The sequence below is a fragment of the Homo sapiens genome, chromosome 17 (genome assembly GCF_000001405.40).
Source record: "Homo sapiens chromosome 17, GRCh38.p14 Primary Assembly".
NCBI classification, from domain to species: domain Eukaryota; kingdom Metazoa; phylum Chordata; class Mammalia; order Primates; family Hominidae; genus Homo; species Homo sapiens.
In genome coordinates, this window is record NC_000017.11 from 41,078,814 (window position 1) to 41,098,641 (window position 19,828).

At 39.9% G+C, this 19,828-nt stretch overlaps 2 protein-coding genes across 2 annotated transcripts, besides 1 other annotated feature; one reads left to right on the forward strand and one right to left on the reverse strand.

Moving 5' to 3' along the window:
• Nucleotides 1-5,336: 5,336 nt before the first annotated feature.
• On the forward strand, nt 5,337-6,331 carry KRTAP4-7 (keratin associated protein 4-7). The gene has a single exon (NM_033061.4). It carries the CDS (start codon nt 5,394-5,396, stop codon nt 5,859-5,861), a length of 468 nt encoding a protein of 155 aa, NP_149050.3. The 5' UTR covers nt 5,337-5,393; the 3' UTR covers nt 5,862-6,331.
• Nucleotides 5,632-6,161: an enhancer, noted in NCBI's record as "H3K27ac-H3K4me1 hESC enhancer chr17:39240697-39241226 (GRCh37/hg19 assembly coordinates)". NCBI's record gives its function as "activates a minimal SCP1, AML or CMV promoter by ChIP-STARR-seq in primed H9 embryonic stem cells {active_cell/tissue: H9 hESC(primed)}" and the evidence as "EXISTENCE:reporter gene assay evidence [ECO:0000049][PMID:30033119]".
• An 11,836-nt stretch (nt 6,332-18,167) lies between the features above and the next one.
• KRTAP4-8 (keratin associated protein 4-8) lies at nt 18,168-19,329 on the reverse strand. The gene has a single exon (NM_031960.3). The coding sequence runs from the start codon at nt 19,269-19,271 to the stop codon at nt 18,714-18,716; it is 558 nt and encodes a 185-aa protein (NP_114166.1). The 5' UTR covers nt 19,272-19,329; the 3' UTR covers nt 18,168-18,713.
• Nucleotides 19,330-19,828: the final 499 nt, after the last annotated feature.

The following is a 19,828-nucleotide window of genomic DNA, read 5'->3' on the forward strand; positions in this document are numbered from 1 at the left end:
GCTAACAATAAATTCAACAATATGAAACACATGAGAAACATGCTGCCAGGATCTTAGAAGAGGGCAACTTAAGGGAGAGGTGGCTTGGGCAGAGAGCATCAGGAAAGGTTTGCTTGTGGAGGTAATAGCACCTAAGTCTTAAAGAACAAGTAGAATGGAGGTTCCTGCATAGTCTGTAGAACAGAATGAGAGAGTTCTCACCATTGTTGAATAGATAAGTGAATGATGATCTATAGCTGTATAGGACTCCTAATTTCCGATTATATCAAACCCAACAAAGACCTTCCAAAAGAACATTTCTGACCAATATAAAGCTCATCTGCGCACATGGACCTGCTATTGTGATCCCACCTGTGAGTCACACAGGGCTCTTCAAGGCCCTAAGCCAATCCCTACATGACCCTGTGAATATTCTGAACATTGAAGACTGTGGCATTAGTGATTCACTTTTGCTCTATTCTATTCTATTGGCATTATGTATTCCTAGGAGTATTGTGTGTTGGGGCAATAATTCATTACTTGACTAACATATTACCTGAAATTCTGATGATCAGGTTACATCATAGAAAAGAATTAGGACAATGTCCTGAATATCTCCTACGCTTCCTAAATTTCTTGCTATAATTGATCATCATACAACAAAATCTTATTAATTTGGGACATGTGCAGGCTAATTTTCCCTGGCCTGTACCGAGGGAAAATTGGCATCTTCCACAAAATTCATGGACAAATTGGGAAGGTAAATGTAATTACAGAAGATATATTTAACCTAGCGTGAATGTACTTTGTGCTAATTGCAAGTGAATCATATTATTCTGTACTTGAGCCTTGAACCTCATCACTTAGAAGCACTCTTTAGCTATGATGCTTAATTATGTTTAAATGTATTGGGAAGAAACTAAATGACATTATTATTTTATTTCATTTTTTAAGTTTTGAGGTACAAGTGTGACTTTGTTACATGCATAGATTGCATAATTAGCAAGTCAGAGCTTTTAGGCCATCATCACATGAGTAACATAAACTGTACCCATTAAGTAATTTCTCATTGTCAACCCCACTCTCACTCTCTAAGCTTTCTGAGTGTCCATGGTCTATCATTCTACTCTCTATGTCCATGCGCACACATTATGTAGCCCCCATGTGTGAGAATATGCGATATTTGTCTTTCTGTGTCTGATTTGTTTCATTTAAGATAATGATCTCCAGTTCCATCCATGTTGCTGCAAAATACATGATTTTATTATGATTTTATGGTGGAATAGCATTAAGTGACATTATTTTCTAAAGTCCAAGTCAACCAAATTAGTGTAGCCTGCACTTTGGGGCCATCATTAAGTAAAATGAGGGTTATTTGAAAGCAAGCACTGCATATCCTACAGTACTGCAACAGTCAGTCTGGTAACTGAGATAATTACTCGGGGATTAAAGGGTGGTCATGTATACAGTATGGACACAGGGAGGACATTTGTCCCAGGCAAGACAGAGCAGGATTGGTGATATTTCATCATACAACTCAGAATGGCATGCAATTTAAAACTTACAAATTGTTTATTTCTGGGATCTTCCATTAATACATTAGAACCGTGGTTGACCATAAGTAACTGAAACCGTGGAAAGTAAATCCACAGATAGGGAAGGAATACTGTAATGCTATGAAGAGAGCATTAAGGGTGATTCTGGTCAGGGCTCAGAAGAAAATAATAGCTGTAGGGAAAGTATGAATCTTCTTATAGGTTATTTAGGTGGTCGTGGCCAGAATGCTGAGAGAAATATGGACAATAGAGGCTATTCTGATGAGATCTCAGATGGAAATGAGGAACAAGAATTGGAAACTGGAGTAAAGGCCATCCTTGTTACAAAGTGGCAAAGGACTTGATTGAATTATGTTCATGTCTAAAGGCTTTATGGAAGGCAGAGTTAAAGAAAGAAGAACAAGTATATCGGGGGAAGAAATTTCCAAGAAAAATGTTGAAGGAGCTGATTGGTGTCTTTGAACTGCGTATAGTAAAATGCAAGAGGAAAGAAACGATTTAAAGGTGGAATTCGCAATTAAAAGGGAAACACAGAATATAGATGTAGAAAATGTGCAACCTGACCAACAATGAGAACACATGGTCACAGGAAGGGGAACATCACACACCAGGGACTGTTGTGGGGTGGGGGGAGGGGGGAGGGCTAGCATTAGGAGATATACCTAATGTAAATGACAAGTTAATGGGTGCAGCACACCAACATGGCACATGTATACATATGTAACAAACCTGCACGTTGTGCACATGTACCCTAAAACTTAAAGTATAATAATAATAAAATTTAAAAAAAAGAATGAAAAAGCATGCAAGGGTGTGGCCAAGTGATGCTTTGATACAAGGATTGATAAGAATAGAAGGAAGCTAGGTGCTGTTCATCAGATCAATGGGAGAATGGCTCTGAAGGCATTTCAGAGATTGTTGAAGCTATCCCTCCCATCACAGGCTCCAAATGAGAGAAACTTGAGGTCAGAAAGGGCTTGGTACTCTCCACATTCTAGCACAGTGCCCCTTTGCTGCTCCAGTTGTGGCTCAAGTGGGCTTAGATGAGACTTGTGCTGCTGCTGCAGAGGGTACAAACTGTGAGCCTTGGTGGTGTTGATGTAGTACTGACTGTAGATACACAGACTGCAGGAGTTGTGGGGCAATGGTTGTCCACCTAGGTTTGAAAGGATGTTTCTGACAGCCTGCCTTAGGGGTGTAGCCACAGCAGAGAGGTCCTCCTAGGGCCATGCTCAGGAAAACGGGGGGTCAGAGCAGCCACTGAGACCCTAGAACTGTAGAACTATCAGCCTGCAATACTAGCCTGAGAGAGCTGCAGCAGAGACTCCAATCAGATAGCTGCTGTATGGGCTGAGCCCAGCAAAGCCATGGGGCAGGGCTATCTGAGGGCATTTGGGGCCTAACACCAAGGCCCCAGGCAGCCCTTCCCCATGTCGGGCACATCCAGGAGACAGCACATGGAGTCGAAGTTTATTCTCCAGTCTTAAGATTTAATGCTGTCTTCCCTGTTGGACTCACCTGGGGCCAGTTACCCTTTTTCTTTCCTGTTGCTCCCTTTTGGAATGGGCCTGTCTATCCTATGCCTCTCCCACCATTGGATTTTGGAACTAGATAACTTCTTTAATAGGTTCACATATGGAGGAGAATTTGCCTCAGGATAAGTCCTGTGTTGAGTCTTATTCATATCAGAGTCACATGAGACTCTTAGATTTACATTTTGACTTTTAAGTTGGTGATGGAACATGACTTTGGGACTATTGGGATAAAAGGAATATATTTTGCGTATGAGAAGGACATGGATGTGGGGGGCCAAGGGTGGAATGCAATGGTTTGAATGTGTCCCTCAAAGTTCATGTGTTGGAAACTTGATCCTCAATGCAGCAGTGTTGGGAGGTGGGGCCTAACAGGAGATGTTTGGGTCATGGTGACACCACCCTCATGAGTGGATTAATGTTGTTATCACAAGAGTGGGTTCCTTATAAAAGGATGAGTTTGACTCCTTCTTTCTCTGTCTCACCCTCTCTCCCTTCCACAATGGGATAACATGGTATTCCTGGTTATCTATAACCAAGTCTCATTCTATAAACGGAATCCTAATTCCACAAGGTTCCACATATGCTATTTATCAGGGGACATGTTGCTTACCACATAAATAATTGTAGTTTTCCTGAAATGAAACTCTGATCTCCTTGTTTGGAATGTTTTCCTCTCTTTTATCCAGAAGTCAAACGATATATACATTTTTAAAGGACCTTACATGCTTCTATGTCATCAAAAAGCCTTCATTCATTCAACAAACATTTATTTCCGGTGTTCTCTGTGCTGAGTATCATGGTAACAAAAAGAAACGTCATAGCCCATGCCTTCAGGCTATTTGCATTGCATATGGGGGAATGAAAGAAGTAAACGTCTATGATACAGTAGAATGTATCACATTATGAGCACAAGGCAGGAAATAATGATAAATGAATGGGGTAGTTTATCAGGAAAGATATTACTGAGGAGGAAATATTTAACTGGGTTTTGACAAATGAGTAGGAGTTTGCAGAGTGGACAAAAAAAGACGACACATTCCAAGAAGATGAAGCAGTTTCAGCAAGCTTAGCAAATTTTGTTCTTTACCACTTTCTTGGCTACACTAAGACATATTAGGCTTACTTTCTCTTTAATCTTGGACAAGCATTTTGTTTGTTTGTTTTAGCTTTTTAATGCTTCTTTTGAGTATTCTGCTAAAAGAGCAATAAGAATGTACACTACTTTATAAGGTTGTAATAAAGAGTGAAAATGAAAAAGATATTTAGCACAATGTCTGGTACATAGTCAATACTTCACAAGTAATATACATACCCTGAGGATGTATGGAACTTATCCACATACTATACATTTTTATTTTAGTTGTTTAATGAACATAATTGTAATTCTTTTCATTTTTGCCAAATTCTGTTTCTTATGCATGTGTCTTATACAAGTACCTGCAGGAAAAAGAGGAGGGTTTATCTGTTCTATACCCAGAGTACCCAATAGAATGTCTTGGATGCATATTATTGAAGGCTTAATAATTCTAAATATTGTTTACATATAACAAATGCTTTTGTCAATGAATAATCCATCATGCAGTTTTGATGATCAAAGGTAAATCAAAACTTCCTACTCCAAATGCCTATACTGTAAGACATACAGAAAAATGTGTTTTTACTCATTAAAGGCAATGAGTCATGGCTAAGTACTTTCACTTGGAGTGGTGGAATGAGATCTGACACAGAGTTTATAACTTCCTTAAGATCTGACCATCTCCCCAACCATTCAAGAAGCATACACGGAATCAGAGTCATCTTCATTATAGATGGGACATCCTTCTCCCGAATGAGTCCTTCCTTCTAATTCCTTTCCAACATTTCATCTGACCAGGACATTATTTGACAACAAAAGACACATTAACATTATAAAAGTTGTCCCCCATGATTTGCAGAGAGCAATCTACAGGTAGGAGGGAGAATCACATTTAGAAATAAAGTGTCAGAGTCATGTGACCAGTGCTTTGTAAAAGACACTGCAGAGACCAGGGACAAAGGTGACCCCCACTAAGGAAGAAATATGACAAGTGTTTCCAATAGAAACACAGGAGCACAGCAGGAAAAGGAAATGGGTTATTTTCTCTCTTTTGGAGTATTTAAGTAGAAACACACAATTATGTAATTACATGATTAAGTTTTCCACGAGGTAAATAATAAGGAAATAATGACGTGGTGGCAATGGGCCTTCAGCAGGGTATAAAGGAGGCTATGGACCCAGAAGACTTCCAAACCCAAGAACTTCACTCTCTTGGAAACCCACCCAGATCCTCCCCGTTCTGACACCATGGTCAGCTCCTGTTGTGGCTCCGTGTGCTCTGACCAGGGCTGCAGCCAAGACCTCTGTCAGGAGACCTGCTGCCGCCCCAGCTGCTGTCAGACCACCTGTTGCAGGACCACCTGCTACCGCCCCAGCTGTTGTGTGTCCAGCTGCTGCAGGCCCCAGTGCTGCCAGTCTGTGTGCTGCCAACCCACCTGCTGTCGCCCCACCTGCTGTGAGACGACCTGCTGCCACCCTAGGTGCTGCATCTCCAGCTGCTGCCGCCCCAGCTGCTGTATGTCCAGCTGCTGCAAGCCCCAGTGCTGCCAGTCTGTGTGCTGCCAGCCCACCTGCTGCCGCCCCAGCTGCTGCCGCCCCTGCTGCTGCCTGCGTCCAGTCTGTGGCCGAGTCTCCTGCCACACCACTTGCTATCGCCCAACCTGTGTCATCTCCACCTGTCCCCGCCCCTTGTGCTGTGCCTCCTCTTGCTGCTGAGCCCACTGCCCTGGCTCACGTCCCCCTTCACCACTGGCCCACAGATGTAGACCCTTCTACTGTGCTGACCATTAGGATACATGAAGTGGGGTTGATGTCATTCAATAGGATGGACCTTATGCTTCCAAAGAGCCCACCACCATTTCACTGACTCTGTGAGAACATTCTGGTTCATTTTAAACTCCCTCCTTTGCTTTCTTTTTCTTCTGGTGGTGGCACCAAATGTGAATTAATTTGTAATACACTAGCTAAGAAATTATTCCAATCTTCTGATTTCCTTATTTTCTTTATCACTTTAAGGTACAGATTCTCCTTCTCAGTGAGGTAGATATTATCTGCAGGACCAGTTTTGTCACTGATGTTGCACCCTCAGATCCAGCCACCCAATTGTATTCTGTGTTTCTCCTAGGGTGAATTTCTTATGCTTTGTTGTATCTCTGCTTTCTAATAAACTTTTCTGCACTTAAGAATTCATTGGTATCATTCTCTATTGCTTTCATAATTATTTTACTGATTCCCTGGCAATTATATTTTACACAAAGACACAGGAGGAGCAACCCGTCTTGAAATCATTTTGAAGATACATTCTATATCAAATATAGATAATTTAAGGTATTGGAATAAAAGTGCTGTGTGTATATGTGTGTGTATGTGCACATGTGTCTTAATATTCTAAATTAAGACATTTAATTCATGCCTTAGCTCTTGAAACACATTTTATCATGAACACATTATATCTCACAATACTATTGTCCCTATTTTGACAAAAAACATAAAACCAAATTTCAGAAAAGTAGACACCAATGAAATAAGGGAAATCTTCTATAAAGAATTTAATGTACTCGAGTCATTTCACTCAATAAACAACATTTTGGAATTTATAACCAAAAAGCGGGCTTTATTTCCCAGTGAGTTCTGCTGAGAAAAAAAAAGCATGTTGAGCTGTATTTTATCTGGATAGCATGGTATATTTCTGACAGTGGTCTCTATGGGTTTACGTTATAATTTAAACATCTCCACACTTAACATTTTACTATATATAAACCCAGAAAGGCTGAAAATTTCAAGGCTCACTTTTCTTTTTAAGAATTATTTTCTTGTAGATTTGTTTGAGTTCATTGTAGATTCTCGATATTAGCCCTTTGTCAGATGAGTAGATTGCAAAAATTTTCTCCCATTCTGTAGGTTGCCTGTTCACCCTGAAGGTAGTTTCTTTTGCTGTGCAGAAGCTCTTTAGTTTAATTAGATCCCATTTGTCAATTTTGGCTTTTGTTGCCATTGCTTTTGGTGTTTTAGACATGAAGTCCATGCCCATGCCTATGTCCTGAATGGTATTGCCTAGGTTTTCTTCTAGGGTTTTTATGGTTTTAGGTCTAATATGTAAGTCTTTAATCCATCCTGAATTAATTTTTGTATAAAGTGTAAGGAAGGGATCCAGTTTCAGCTTTCTACATATGACTAGCCAGTTTTCACAGCACCATTTATTAAATAGGGGATCCTTTCCCCATTTCTTGTTTTTGTCAGGTTTGTCAAAGACCAAAAAACAAACAGCCCCATCAAAAAGTGGGCAAAGGATATGAACAGACACTTCTCAAAAGAAGACATTTATGCAGCCAAAAGACATATAAAAAAATGCTCATCATCACTGGCCATCAGAGAAATGCAAATCAAAACCACAATGAGATACCATCTCACACTAGTTAGAATGGCGATCATTAAAAAGTCAGGAAACAACAGGTGCTGGAGAGGATGTGGAGAAATAGGAACACTTTTACACTGTTGGTGGGACTGTAAACTAGTTCAACCATTGTGGAAGACAGTGTGGCGATTCCTCAGGGATCTTGAACTAGAAATACCATTTGACCCAGCAATCCATTACTGGGTATATACCCAAAGGATTATAAAACATGCTGCTGTAAAGACACATGCACATGTATGTTTATTGTGGCATTATTCACAATAGCAAAGACTTGGAACCAAGCCAAATGTCCAACATAGACTGGATTAAGAAAATGTGGCACATATACACCATGGAATACTATGCAGCCATATAAAATGATGAGTTCATGTCCCTTGTAGGGACATGGATGAAGCTGGAAACCATCATTCTCAGCAAACTATCGCAAGGACAAAAAACCAAACACTGCATGTTCTCACTCATAGGTGGGAATTGAACAATGAGAACACATGGACACAGGAAGGGAAACATCACACACAGGGGCCTGTTGTGGGGGTGGGGGGAGGGGGGAAGGATACCATTAGGAGATATACCTAATGTTAAATGACAAGTTGATGGGTGCAGCACACCAACATGGCACATGTATATATGTAACTAACCTGCATGTTGTGCACATGTACCCTAAAACTTAAAGTATAATAAAAATAAATAAATAAATAAATAAATTGAGAAAAAAAAGAATTTTTTTTTGAAATTAGTTCATAGCCTTGAGTAGGTCGCAGCTGGGGTGCATATCCTAATTAGAATCTTCAAGAGTAGTGCCTTCATTTGAATCTGAAAGAATATGGTAAGTGATTATAACTTGGCATTCTAGTAGGAGCACCTGCTCTTGATGTTTTTACTTTTACTTGACAATTATCAGCTCTGAAGTGCCCTAAGCTATTGAGCCAATCAAGTTTAAGATGATTTGTTCAGATATCATTGATAAGCTTCACATTTTTTCAGATGCCTTAAGAAAATTGTTGCCCAGATCTTAATCATAGAGTTATGATGCCTTCTTAAACATGAGGCAGGATAAATAAGGTTAGAAGGCTGTGAAAGTAAAATAAATATTGGGGCCCCCAAATCACTAAGCTAAAGGGAAAAGGCAAACTCAGAACTGCTTAGGGAAAATCTGCCTCTCATTCTATTCAAAGTCACCCCTCTGCTCACTGAGATAAATGCATATCTGATTGACTCCTTGGGAAAGACTAATCAGAAACTCAAAAGAATGCAACCATTTGTCTCTTATATACCTATGATCTGGAAGCCCCCTCCCAGCTTTGAGTTGTCCCGCCTTTGCTTCGAGTTCTCCTGCCTTTTCTGAACCAAATCTGTGTTTATCTTACATATGTTGATTGATGTCTCATATCTCTCTAAAATGTATAAAACAAAAGTGTTATCTGACCACCTTACACACATGTTGTCAGGACTTCCTGAAGCTGTGTCACTGGAGCAGCCTGAAGCTGTGTCACTGAAGCATCCTCAACCTTGGCAAAATAAACTTTCTAAATTAACTGAAGCCTGTCTCAGATATTCAGGGTTCACATTTTTGTAATTCTGAAGGGATTCTGAGTGGAGATGCACCTGACCTTTGACAAATATCCAGTTGGTACCTGGTAATAGCATGAGCCAACCTTATGGCTCAAACCAAGAGGACAATTTACTGAGTTCTGGAAGCACCCTCCCCAAAGAATCCATGATCTCCCAAAATTTGGTGAAGATCTAAAGTGTATTTTGCTGTACAACTTCCCCATCTATTTTTTTTTTTTTTTTTTGGAGTTGAGTTTTACTGGCTTACTTGCCTTCCTTTACAAGGAAGGCAAGATTTATTTTACTTCCTTTACAAGGAAGGCAAGATTTCCTGCTTCCATGATGATGAAACGCATGTAGAGTTTGAGCTCACTCCCAGCAGGGAACACCAGTTTGAGTTTTTTTCCTGCTTCTAGGATGGTAGAAAGCAGCCTTCAGCCTGAGACCCATCCCTACGTAAGTAGCTGAACTGGGGCTTTGTCTTGGCTAAAGTTTAACAACCAGCTGGTCTTAATTTCTCCTTATCATTAGAATGCTTGGTAATCGTATTGTTGGACATTTTGTTGTTTGTTTTGGTCTTTCTCCCATCAGACTTGACCAACTCTACCTGACTTGGTCAAATCCAAGTGAGAATTCAAAATTATGGGTAACAAAGCCTCTTTAATTTGGCTAAAATTCATTACAGCTGCAAAAGAAGAAAACAAACAAAAAGAACCAAAAACCCATGCACTTGGTTTCTGTGTTTGCTTCCTGCCTTAGAAAACAAATTTTCTTTCATTTACTTTTCTTCCACCATATACCTCCTCCCCCTTTGCCATTTGCAGTACCAAAAAATCTAGAGAAGGCTTCTAATGACTTGAACTCCCTTAAAGAATCAGAACAAAGGTCGCCACTCACCCCTTTTGGGGTGTTTTGTTTTCTTTGTGGAGTTTCAAGAGTCATGGGTAGATACTTCTTAACTCTAAACCTCTATTTTCCTGTATTGCATGACCTGACCTCTTTGGCTTTGACCTTGCTGGGTATAATGGTAGATGACAGCTACAGAGTTAAGGGGTGTCTGAGCACAGTTTACAAAAAGTGGTCTTGGCTGTTGTTTCGTTTTCCTTCCAGGAAGTTGTTGTTTAAAAATCCTAATTCTAGTTCAGAGATGCATTCTAAAGGGTCCTCTCTGTTGCTTTTTCTCCACAAATTAAGCTCGATTCGGCTTGTCTGTGTGCATTTGCATGAGGAACTGAACTGTTGTTTTCAGTGGTGACCCACTGTGGAGTCCTGCCCACAAATGGCACATATTGATCCACCACAGAAAACCTCTAGGCCTCAGCTCAGTTCCTCTTTTTAAGAAGAAAACTGGGAAACAAATAATCTAAGAATGAGGAGAAAGCAAAGAGAATGATTCCCTTTCAAGCACTCCATAGGTTTTATGGCACCTGTACTTGCCAGAGTTTAAGTAAAATGGAAGTAATATGGTCTTTGTGCATATTTACATTAAGAAAGAAAGGGCCCATGTAAATTAGTTCAACCATTGTGGAAGACAGTATGGTGATTCCTCAAGGATCTAAAATCAGAAATACCATTTGATCCAGCAATCCCATTACTTGTTATATACCCAAAGGAATACAAATCATTCTACTGTAAAGACACAGGCACATGTATGTTTATTGCAGCACTATTTACAAGAGCAAAGACATGGAACTAACCCAAACGCCCATCAATTATAGACTTGATAAAGAAAATGTGGTACATATACACCATGGAATACGATGCAGCCATAAAACGGAGTGAGTTCATGTCCTTTGTAGGGACATGGATGAAGCTGGAAACCATCATCCTCAGCAAACTAACACAGAAACAGAATACCAAATACAACATGTTCTCACTCACATATGGGAGTTGAACTTTGAGAACACATGGACACAGAGAGGAGAGCAACACATATCAGGGGCTGTTGGGGGGTGGGGAATGAGAGGAGGGAACTTAGAGGATGGGTCAATAGGTGCAGCAAACCACCAAGGCACACATATACCTATGTAACAAACCTGCACGTTCTCCTGCATGTATATTTCATTTTTTTTTAGAAGAGAAAGAAAAGAAGGAAAGAAAGCAAGAAAGCAAGAAAGAGAAAGAAAGAAAGCAAGCAAGCAAGAAAGAAAGAAAGAAAGAAAGAAAGAAAGAAAGAAAGAAAGAAAGAAAGAAAGAAAAGAAGAGCCTTAAGGTGGACCTACAAACTACAGAGTTCCTAAGTTCTCTTTTTTCTCTATTTTCTTTTCTGCCTGCTTTAAATCTGCTGTTATTTTTCTATTAAGATCAAAACCACTGTTTGGATACAACAGTTTTTTTGCTTGCAAGCTGGTGAATTTGTATTTGTCTCATGGCTAAAGTTCTGAAGTAAAAGCTATAGGATGTGTGTGTGTGTGTGTGTGTGTGTGTGTGTGTGTGTGTATTTAAAAGGCCTTTATAATTTTTATAATTTTATGTTTATTTGGCAATGAAGTCCATTTTAATTTCCCTCTAGCACCACCAGACTTTTTCTCTCTGTACCTTAAGACATAAATTTTGCTCTTTGATTTTTGCCTGAGTTGTTTCCTTTAATATGCAAACTTAAAGCCATTTAGCTGACAACTTCCTAGGGGATTAAAACAGGTTATTGAGAATTTGAAAGTCTAAGATAGTGGAAAAATCTTCTTATGAATCTATAAGATGTACTTCTATCAACATGCCTACTAGGTCTATGTATTTATGTGTTGTGTACACAATGTCTCACTACTGAAAATATATAAAAGGGCTCTAATTAATTGGCTTAAGAAAAAAAGCACTTAAATCAAATACTTATTAGGAAAAAAGAAAAGACTAGTTGAATGCTTTCTCAAGTTTATGTAACTTAAGTAAAATCTTTAATAAATAAGCTACTTTTAAAATGATTGGTAAAGTAATATTAGACATGTCTTAAGAATTGCCAGCATGCATTTTGTTTGCATTTATTAATCAAGCAATTTCATGTTTATCCCTGTCAAATACTATAAGGTGTCAAAATTTGGCATGGGGTTACAAAACTGTGATAGAATGATCTTTGCTTGTGTAATCTTTAATAAATAAGACATTGATACTGGTTTAATAAAAATAGCCACATCTTGAATTTAGTCAGATTACCATAACTTCTAATCTTGTGGCTTTTAGTGGTCTAGTCCACAGGCAGTAATATTTACTTTGGGAATGAAATATTATAATCTTTGTTTCAAAGGTAAACTATAAACTATTTTCCTCTCAAAGTCTGTTCAGCCTGTGCTGGTAAGAAAGCTTAAAGAGAAATAATTTCATATGAGAAAGAATCTTGTATGGTAAATTTAGACCTAAAATAAAATGACTGATTGTTTAAGAAAGATGGATGTTCAAAACAAACTAGATAGTCCAAGCATATCATGAACAGTCTCTATAAGTCATAAGAGGATTTATTTTAAAAAAATACCAAAAAACTTTTATATGATTGAGTTGTCTATAATTAAAGGGAAATTATAATGGTCTTCCTGAAGATTGGGCTTCATGCTAAAAAAAACACTTATAGACTAAATAATTAGTTACAGCGATGAAATTTTCTTAAGGGATTGATTTACTCTTAATAAATTATAAGAGATTTTAATTTTTTAACCCAAAGTTCAACTATTTACTTGCTGTTTTCTCTCCCCTTCAACTTGTTTTCAGCTCATATAAGTTATTTTCCTTAAGTTCTGTTTGTTGTGGCCTGATGCTAACAATGTTTTCTAAAAGTCTAAAGGAAATGTTTTCTTCCAAAGTAATACTCTGTGCAGTGTAGAAGGTCTTTTCTTTTGCCTTTTGGTAATTGACCTAACAGATTTTATGGCTTATTGAAACAATTCCTATGCCATTATTATTAATTTTTGGTTTGCTTAGGAAAAAGAAACTGAGACAATTTTTTTAAAAAATTAACGTTATTACATCCATGTATATTTCTGTGTGCACTTTGAAAGTACCTGTGACATTGAGTTACCGGCCTTTAACTCCTGGATCTAAAAAGGAGACCAAGATCTGCTAAATCTTAAACACTGACAGCAATTAAAACCTCATCTTCAGGCCTGGTAGAAGATGCCTATCAAAATAAGCTGCATTTCTGAGACATAAGGCCATAAATCAAAGCTATTCAACTCTTCAAGACTCAGGAACAATCACAGAAGAGGTAGGCATGTGAGATTATAAGGGCTGATTTTGAGAGATAAAATAAGTTCAGTCTCTATACAAGTTAATAATTGATGTCAAAGGCACACTGATGCAATACCAGCATATGGGCCCCTGTGTCAGATTAACAAGGTTTTCTTGAAGTGTTAACTGACCCCTTAATAAAGGTTATAAAGGTTATAAAAGGCTTATGAAAGTTGTATCTTATGGTCAAGATTAAAATGTTATAGATTGTTTAAAAAATTTTGAAAAACAAATTTAATTGGCTTTATGCTGTTTTATTTGGGCTTATTGTTTGAAAAATTGACTTATTTTATGATGACCTGTCATATCAAGTGTTTTAAACCTTTGATATTTGACAAACTTTCCAAAATCAAATTACAAGTTGTGTATTTTTCTGACCTAATTAATCCTTTAAGATATTAGTTTCCCTCAAGTCCAAAAATGAAATAATTTGACTTATTTGGTATAAAAATTATACAGGAAGCATTGTCAAATATAAAATGGTGTTTGGTTTTATTTGGGCTGTATTTGTATAAAATTGTTATTGGTATGTGCACCAAAATTATGGGAAACTCCTATAATTCTGATATGACCTGGTGTACATTATCAGTAATAATTATGATTGTTATATTAAATTATTGTGTGCCATGGTGGTAACAAATTTTCTTGTCAATTGTATCTTCGCCTATGGCTGACCTAAAACTTTTTGTCACCCATGGACAATTTTTGTCTTGTTTTAGTCCTCTTTAGAAGATGGTTTTATAATCAGCTATAAAACTCTAACAGGTATTCTTGAATGCAGGTTTCTAATAACTCTGGAGATTGTGACATCACAATGAAGGAAAAGCTTTCAGGACTCATGGAGACCTGAAATGTTCATGAATAGCAAGCAGAACAGGAATTAACTGCATGAACTGAACTAACAGAAGACTGAAGTAATCTTTTTGACTTTTTGCTTAAAACATTGCTGACCCTTTATTTTGTTTTTTTCAGTCAAGGAAACTTTTCTTTTGAGCTGTTGTCAGCTTTTAACAAGTTAGTATACTCCTGTGAAAAATATTTGGAGCATATTTGTTTCTCTCTACCTGATTTTCCCTAGAATTGGAAACTATCTGTGAGTATTCTTAACTTATGGCAATACAGTTATTTGCGTAAGTGCAATAAGAATCTGTTTTCATTTGTAACAGGACACGATAAATTGGTCATTTTACCAAGGCTTTTACTTGAATGGTGTGCTCTTCTTTGAGGAATCAAACTTGACTTATGGAGCCAATAAAAGCCCCTTGGGAGAACTGGCCTCATACCTTATCTACACAGTCCCTGTACAGGGTTCCTGACCTGTGGTAAGTAAAGCATGTCACTTTCTAACAGTTCCAGGAGCCCCAAGTTTATCTTGGAACCTCAAGAGGAGAGGAATTCACCCAACTCATAGGTATTTGATGGTACAAATCCATGGCTAGGCTAAGCTTTCCAAAAGTCTTATCCGAAATTCCTTCTATGGAACAAAGTTCTGATAGGGCCAGGGGACAGAGAAATTCTAGGCAGAAAAGGATAGGTCTCTGACAAAACCCCACCTTCAAGCTGAAAAGCCTTAAACCATGGCCCAAAGTGACAACTTATATCCCTGTTTTCCTGCTTGAAAGTTGCCTTTTTCTAAACCACTCATGGCCCCATCCTGTCCCATCCTGTGCCTGTGAAGATCTCAGACTGAGCTGGCAGAGGCAAGAAGCAGCTGGATGTTGGGGACTACAGCCGGACATCAGAGAGAAGCAGCTTGACTGCAGAGGGACAGCTTGATGGTGTAACCTTGGAGAAGAATCCGGCTGGATACAGCCTAACTTTGAGGAAGATTACCTACCCACCCCATCCTTTTTCAGCTCCCTTCCTGCTAAGAGCCACTTTCATCAGCAACAAAATCCCCCACATTTACCATCCTTTGATTGGTTCATGTGACCTCACCTTTCCTGGACACCCGACAAGAGCTTGGGAGCCAGGAGAGCAGATACAAAAGGCTGTCACACTGGCCTTCTGCTCTTGCTGTTGGAGGGCAGCTGCCTCATGCAAAAAGGCAGAGGGCTCACTGAGCTGTTGACACTTAAGCCATCCATGGAAGGCAGAGTTAAAAGAGCACTGTAACATGACTTCTGGGGCTATGGGAGTTGCAGGCACCTCCACCTAGATGCTGCTGTGGGGCCCGCACAGAGTTTGCTCCTGCCAGCACCCAAAAGCACTCACTCTGGCTCCTGCACCCATTCACCTGCATGCTTCCTTCCATGAGCAGGGGACTGCAGCAGGTCCAAGTGAGTGAAGTTTGATCCTGCAGCACTGAAGTGCTGATTCCAGCACTCATGCACTCCAGTTCCTGCCTCATTTGCTTGCATGCTCTCTCCTGCAAGGAGGTGAGAGTGGCAGGCTGAATAAATGAGGCCCTGTCACAAGTCCCACAGAAGGGTCAGGGAAACATCCTGCTTCGCTTCCATCAAAGAGAATTTAAAAGCTTATGCAAAAAAATTATTACTATTACTATGACTGTGCTGTATACAATAATCAGGTCAAGTATAATAAAGCAAATCAGCTCTGCCATGATTTGTCTTTAGTAAAAATGGTAAATGGGAGAGAGAAGAATTGTTTCAAAAAATGATAGTACACCTGTTGTTAGATTCTAGTCTTGCCTAATGTTTTTCCATTTTTATTAATTTTTACAGTTTGGACTGAATTCTAATTTTTCTTGGCTACAGGTCTTCAAAAGATTGTCTTCAGTTTTTTTCTTCTTCTTCTTTCCACCATTTTTCCTAATTTGGAGTCACCGAAAACTCATCTGTGCTTTTATAAAGCCCTGTGAACTGCAGCTATAAGATTTAAACTTCAGAAGAAAATATTAGCAACCTTTTCACATACGTGAGCCTCTTTCATACCTGCCTACTGATATATGGACTTCCGAGTAATGTGGCCCATATTGATTTTCCAGGATTGTTCTTTTGTTTATTTTTGTTTTTCTCCCTTCCTTTCCCTATTTTCTCTTCATAGGACATGAAACTTCACAACCTGCTAAAAATGAACTTTCCTAATAACTCAGGAATTATCTTTCTAGGAATAAACAATCCTAGCCATGAGATATCAGATGAAACTTGAGACCAAAGACTGACTTTCTTCTAAAATGCTTTCTCAAAAAGATTTTTAAGAAGAAATGGGCGGAAATGTGAAAGGAAAATAAACCTTGGGGCCCTGAAATCACTAAGGTAAAGGGGAAAGTCAAGCTGGGAACTGCTTAGGGCAAACCTGCCTCCCGTTCTATTCACAGTCACCCCTCTGCTCACAGAGATAAATGCATATCTGATTGCCTCCTTTGGAAAGGCTAATCAGAAACTCTGAAGAAAGCAACCATTTTTCTCTTATCTACCTATGACCTGGAAGCCCCTCCCCACTTAGAGTTGTCCCGGCCTTTTCCGGACGGAACCACTGTTCATCTTACATATGTTGATTGATGTCTCATGTCTCCCTAAAATGTATAAAACCAAGCTGTGCTCTGACCACTTTGGGCACCTGTCTTCAGAACCTCCTGAGGCTGTGTCACAGGTGTACATCCCCAACCTTGGCAAAATAAACTTTCTAAATAAACTGAGACCTGTCTCCGATTTTGCGGGTTCAGAAGGCTATACTGAATTGTCCCCTGTGTGAAGCCCAGCAGGAGCCTTTCACAGCAGGTTCTTTTCACTTGAACCTTTGTGCATCAGCACCTAACTCTTTCGCAAGATAAGGGGTCCTACGGAATACCAGCAGACCCACCAGAGGGTTACAAATTCCTGATACCTAGTACAACCTGGGAAAGAGAGCAAAAGCCCTTTATTCCTGATGTAGCTTCCCCAATCTCTAGCCAATTTGCACCAAAAGCCCAAGAAACTCCTAACTACAAATTCCTTCCAGGGGTGGGGTGTGTGGGAGGGTGGGCAGGGACTTCTCTGGGGTCCTGCATGCACAGCTAGGCTCAAGGTTCAGCTTATAGTAACCTTTTCCTCATTTTAATAGTAAAAACAGCCACAACAAGAAAAACACCCCTAGGCGGAGATTTCATATGCTAATGATACATGCAATGGGTGTTACACCATGTTGATCCTGAGCACATGTGCCAACCGCAGGTCTGCCTTTGCATACTTGACCTCACCGGTACTTTTTGATTATGTACGTATAGCTCTCATGAGAGGAATTCCTTTTACAGCACTAGCTGCTGTCTCTCCCATTGAGCAGCCCACTCTGCCTCTCAAAGGGTACTTTTGCTTTGCAACAAACTTCTTCGCTTACTCTTACTTTGGATTTGCTCTCAAATTCTTTCGCGCAGCAAATTCAAGAATCTGAACTGGTCCACCAACAACAAAATAACAAAATTCCCTTATATAACATTTGGAGTCTGCCTTAACTGATTTGAATCAAGATGGAATGCAGTAGGATGAGATGTACTTTTTAAATTTCACACAGAAGAGTGAGGAGTATTACCATGATATCATAATTTCTAAAATAATGGATGAACTTACAAACAACAATACTGGGGGCTTTACCTATCCCAAAGCATTCCGTATATCAAATTGAAACAATGAAAAGCTTCTATTTTATTTTAGTTTATCTGTGACATTACTAGGGGTTTTACGTATCCCAAACCATTCCGTATATCAAATTGAAACAATCAAAAGCTTCTATTTTATTTTAGTTTATGTGTGACATTGGAGCAGTTTGGCACTATGATTTCATCCCTGAAGTCTTACTTTGGAATCATGCTTTGAGAATCCCCTTCTACTGCATTCCCACCTCACCCCCATGAATCAGTAAACTCAGTGAAAATTATCACAAAAAATGCAAAAAACAATAAAAGATTTCTAAATGAAAAGTTTAATACAATATATTTTGTGAACACAATAAAGATAAAGAACTAATAAAATAGAAAAATTCTGACAAACTTGAACAGTGAGAGAAAGAGAGAGCAGGGAGAAAGCGGGAGAGCACGGGAGGGGCAGCCTCCTACCTTTCCAAAAGAAAAGAATGACTGAAAGGCTGACAGACAAATAGTATGTTTGAAAGGGAGATAATGTGTACCTAATTGGGAAGGATATTCTGTAGGCTCAAAATGATTTTAAAAAATGAGGAATTTAGAGGATTGGAATAATTTCTTAGCTAGTGGATTACAAATTAATTCGTATTTGGTGCCATGACTGGAAGAAAAAGAAAGCAAGGGAGGGAGTTTAAAATGAACCAGAATGTTCTCACAGAGTCAGCGGGATGGTGATGGGCTCATTGGATACATGAGGTCCACCCTGCTGAATGACATAAATCCCACTCCATGTGTCCTAATATTCAGCACAGAAGAATGGTCTACATTTGTGGACCAGCGGTGAAGGGAGAGATGAGCCAGGGCAGTGGGCTCAGCAGCAAGAGGAGGCGCAGCACACGGGGCGGGGGCAGGTGGAGATGACACAGGCTGGGCGATAGCAAGTGGTGTGGCAGGAGACTCGGCCACAGACTGGACGCAGGCAGCAGCAGGGGCGGCAGCAGCTGGATTCACAGCAAGAGGGGCGGCAGCAGCTGGAGATGCTGCAGCTGGGGCGGCAGCAGTTGGGCTGGCAGCACACAGACTGGCAGCACTGGGGCTTGCAGCAGCTGGACACACAGCAGCTGGGGCGGCAGCAGCTGGAGATGCAGCAGCTAGGGTGGCAGCAGGTGGGCTGGCAGCACACAGACTGGCAGCACTGGGGCTTGCAGCAGCTGGACACACAGCAGCTGGGGCGACAGCAGGTGGGCTGGCAGCACACAGACTGGCAGCACTGGGGTCTGCAGCAGCAGGACACACTGTAGCTGGGGCGGTAGCAGGTGGTCCTGCAGCAGGTGGTCTGACAGCAGCTGGGGCAGCAGCAGGTCTCCTGGCAGAGGTCTTGGCCACAGCCTTGGTCAGAGCACACGGAGCCACAACAGGAGTTGACCATGGTGTCAGAGGGTGAAGGATCTATTTGGGTTTCCAAGAGAGTAAAGTTCTTGAGTTTGGAAGTTTCCTGGGTCCATAGCCCCTTTATACCCGCCTGAAGGCCCGTTGTCACCACGTCATTATTTCCTTGTTATTATTTACCTACTGAAAAAATTAATCATGTAATTACATCATTGTGTGTTTCTAGTTAAATACTCCAAAACAGAGAAAATAACTCATTTCCTTTTCCTGCTGTGCTCCTGTGTTTCCATTGGAAATGCTTGTCATATTTCTTCCTTGGTGGGGGTCACCTTTGTCCCTGGTCTATGCAGTGTCTTTTACAAAGCACTGGTCACAGGACTCTCTGACATTTTGTTTTTAAATATGACTCTCCCTCCTACCTGTAGATTGCTGTCTGCAAATAATGGGGGACGATTTTTATAATGTGAATGTATCTTTCATTGTCAAAGAACGTCCTGGTCAGGTGAAATGTTGGGAAGGAATTAGAAGGAAGGACTCATTTGTGGAAGGATCTCCCATCTGTAATGAGGATGACTCTGATCCCGTGTGTGCATCTCG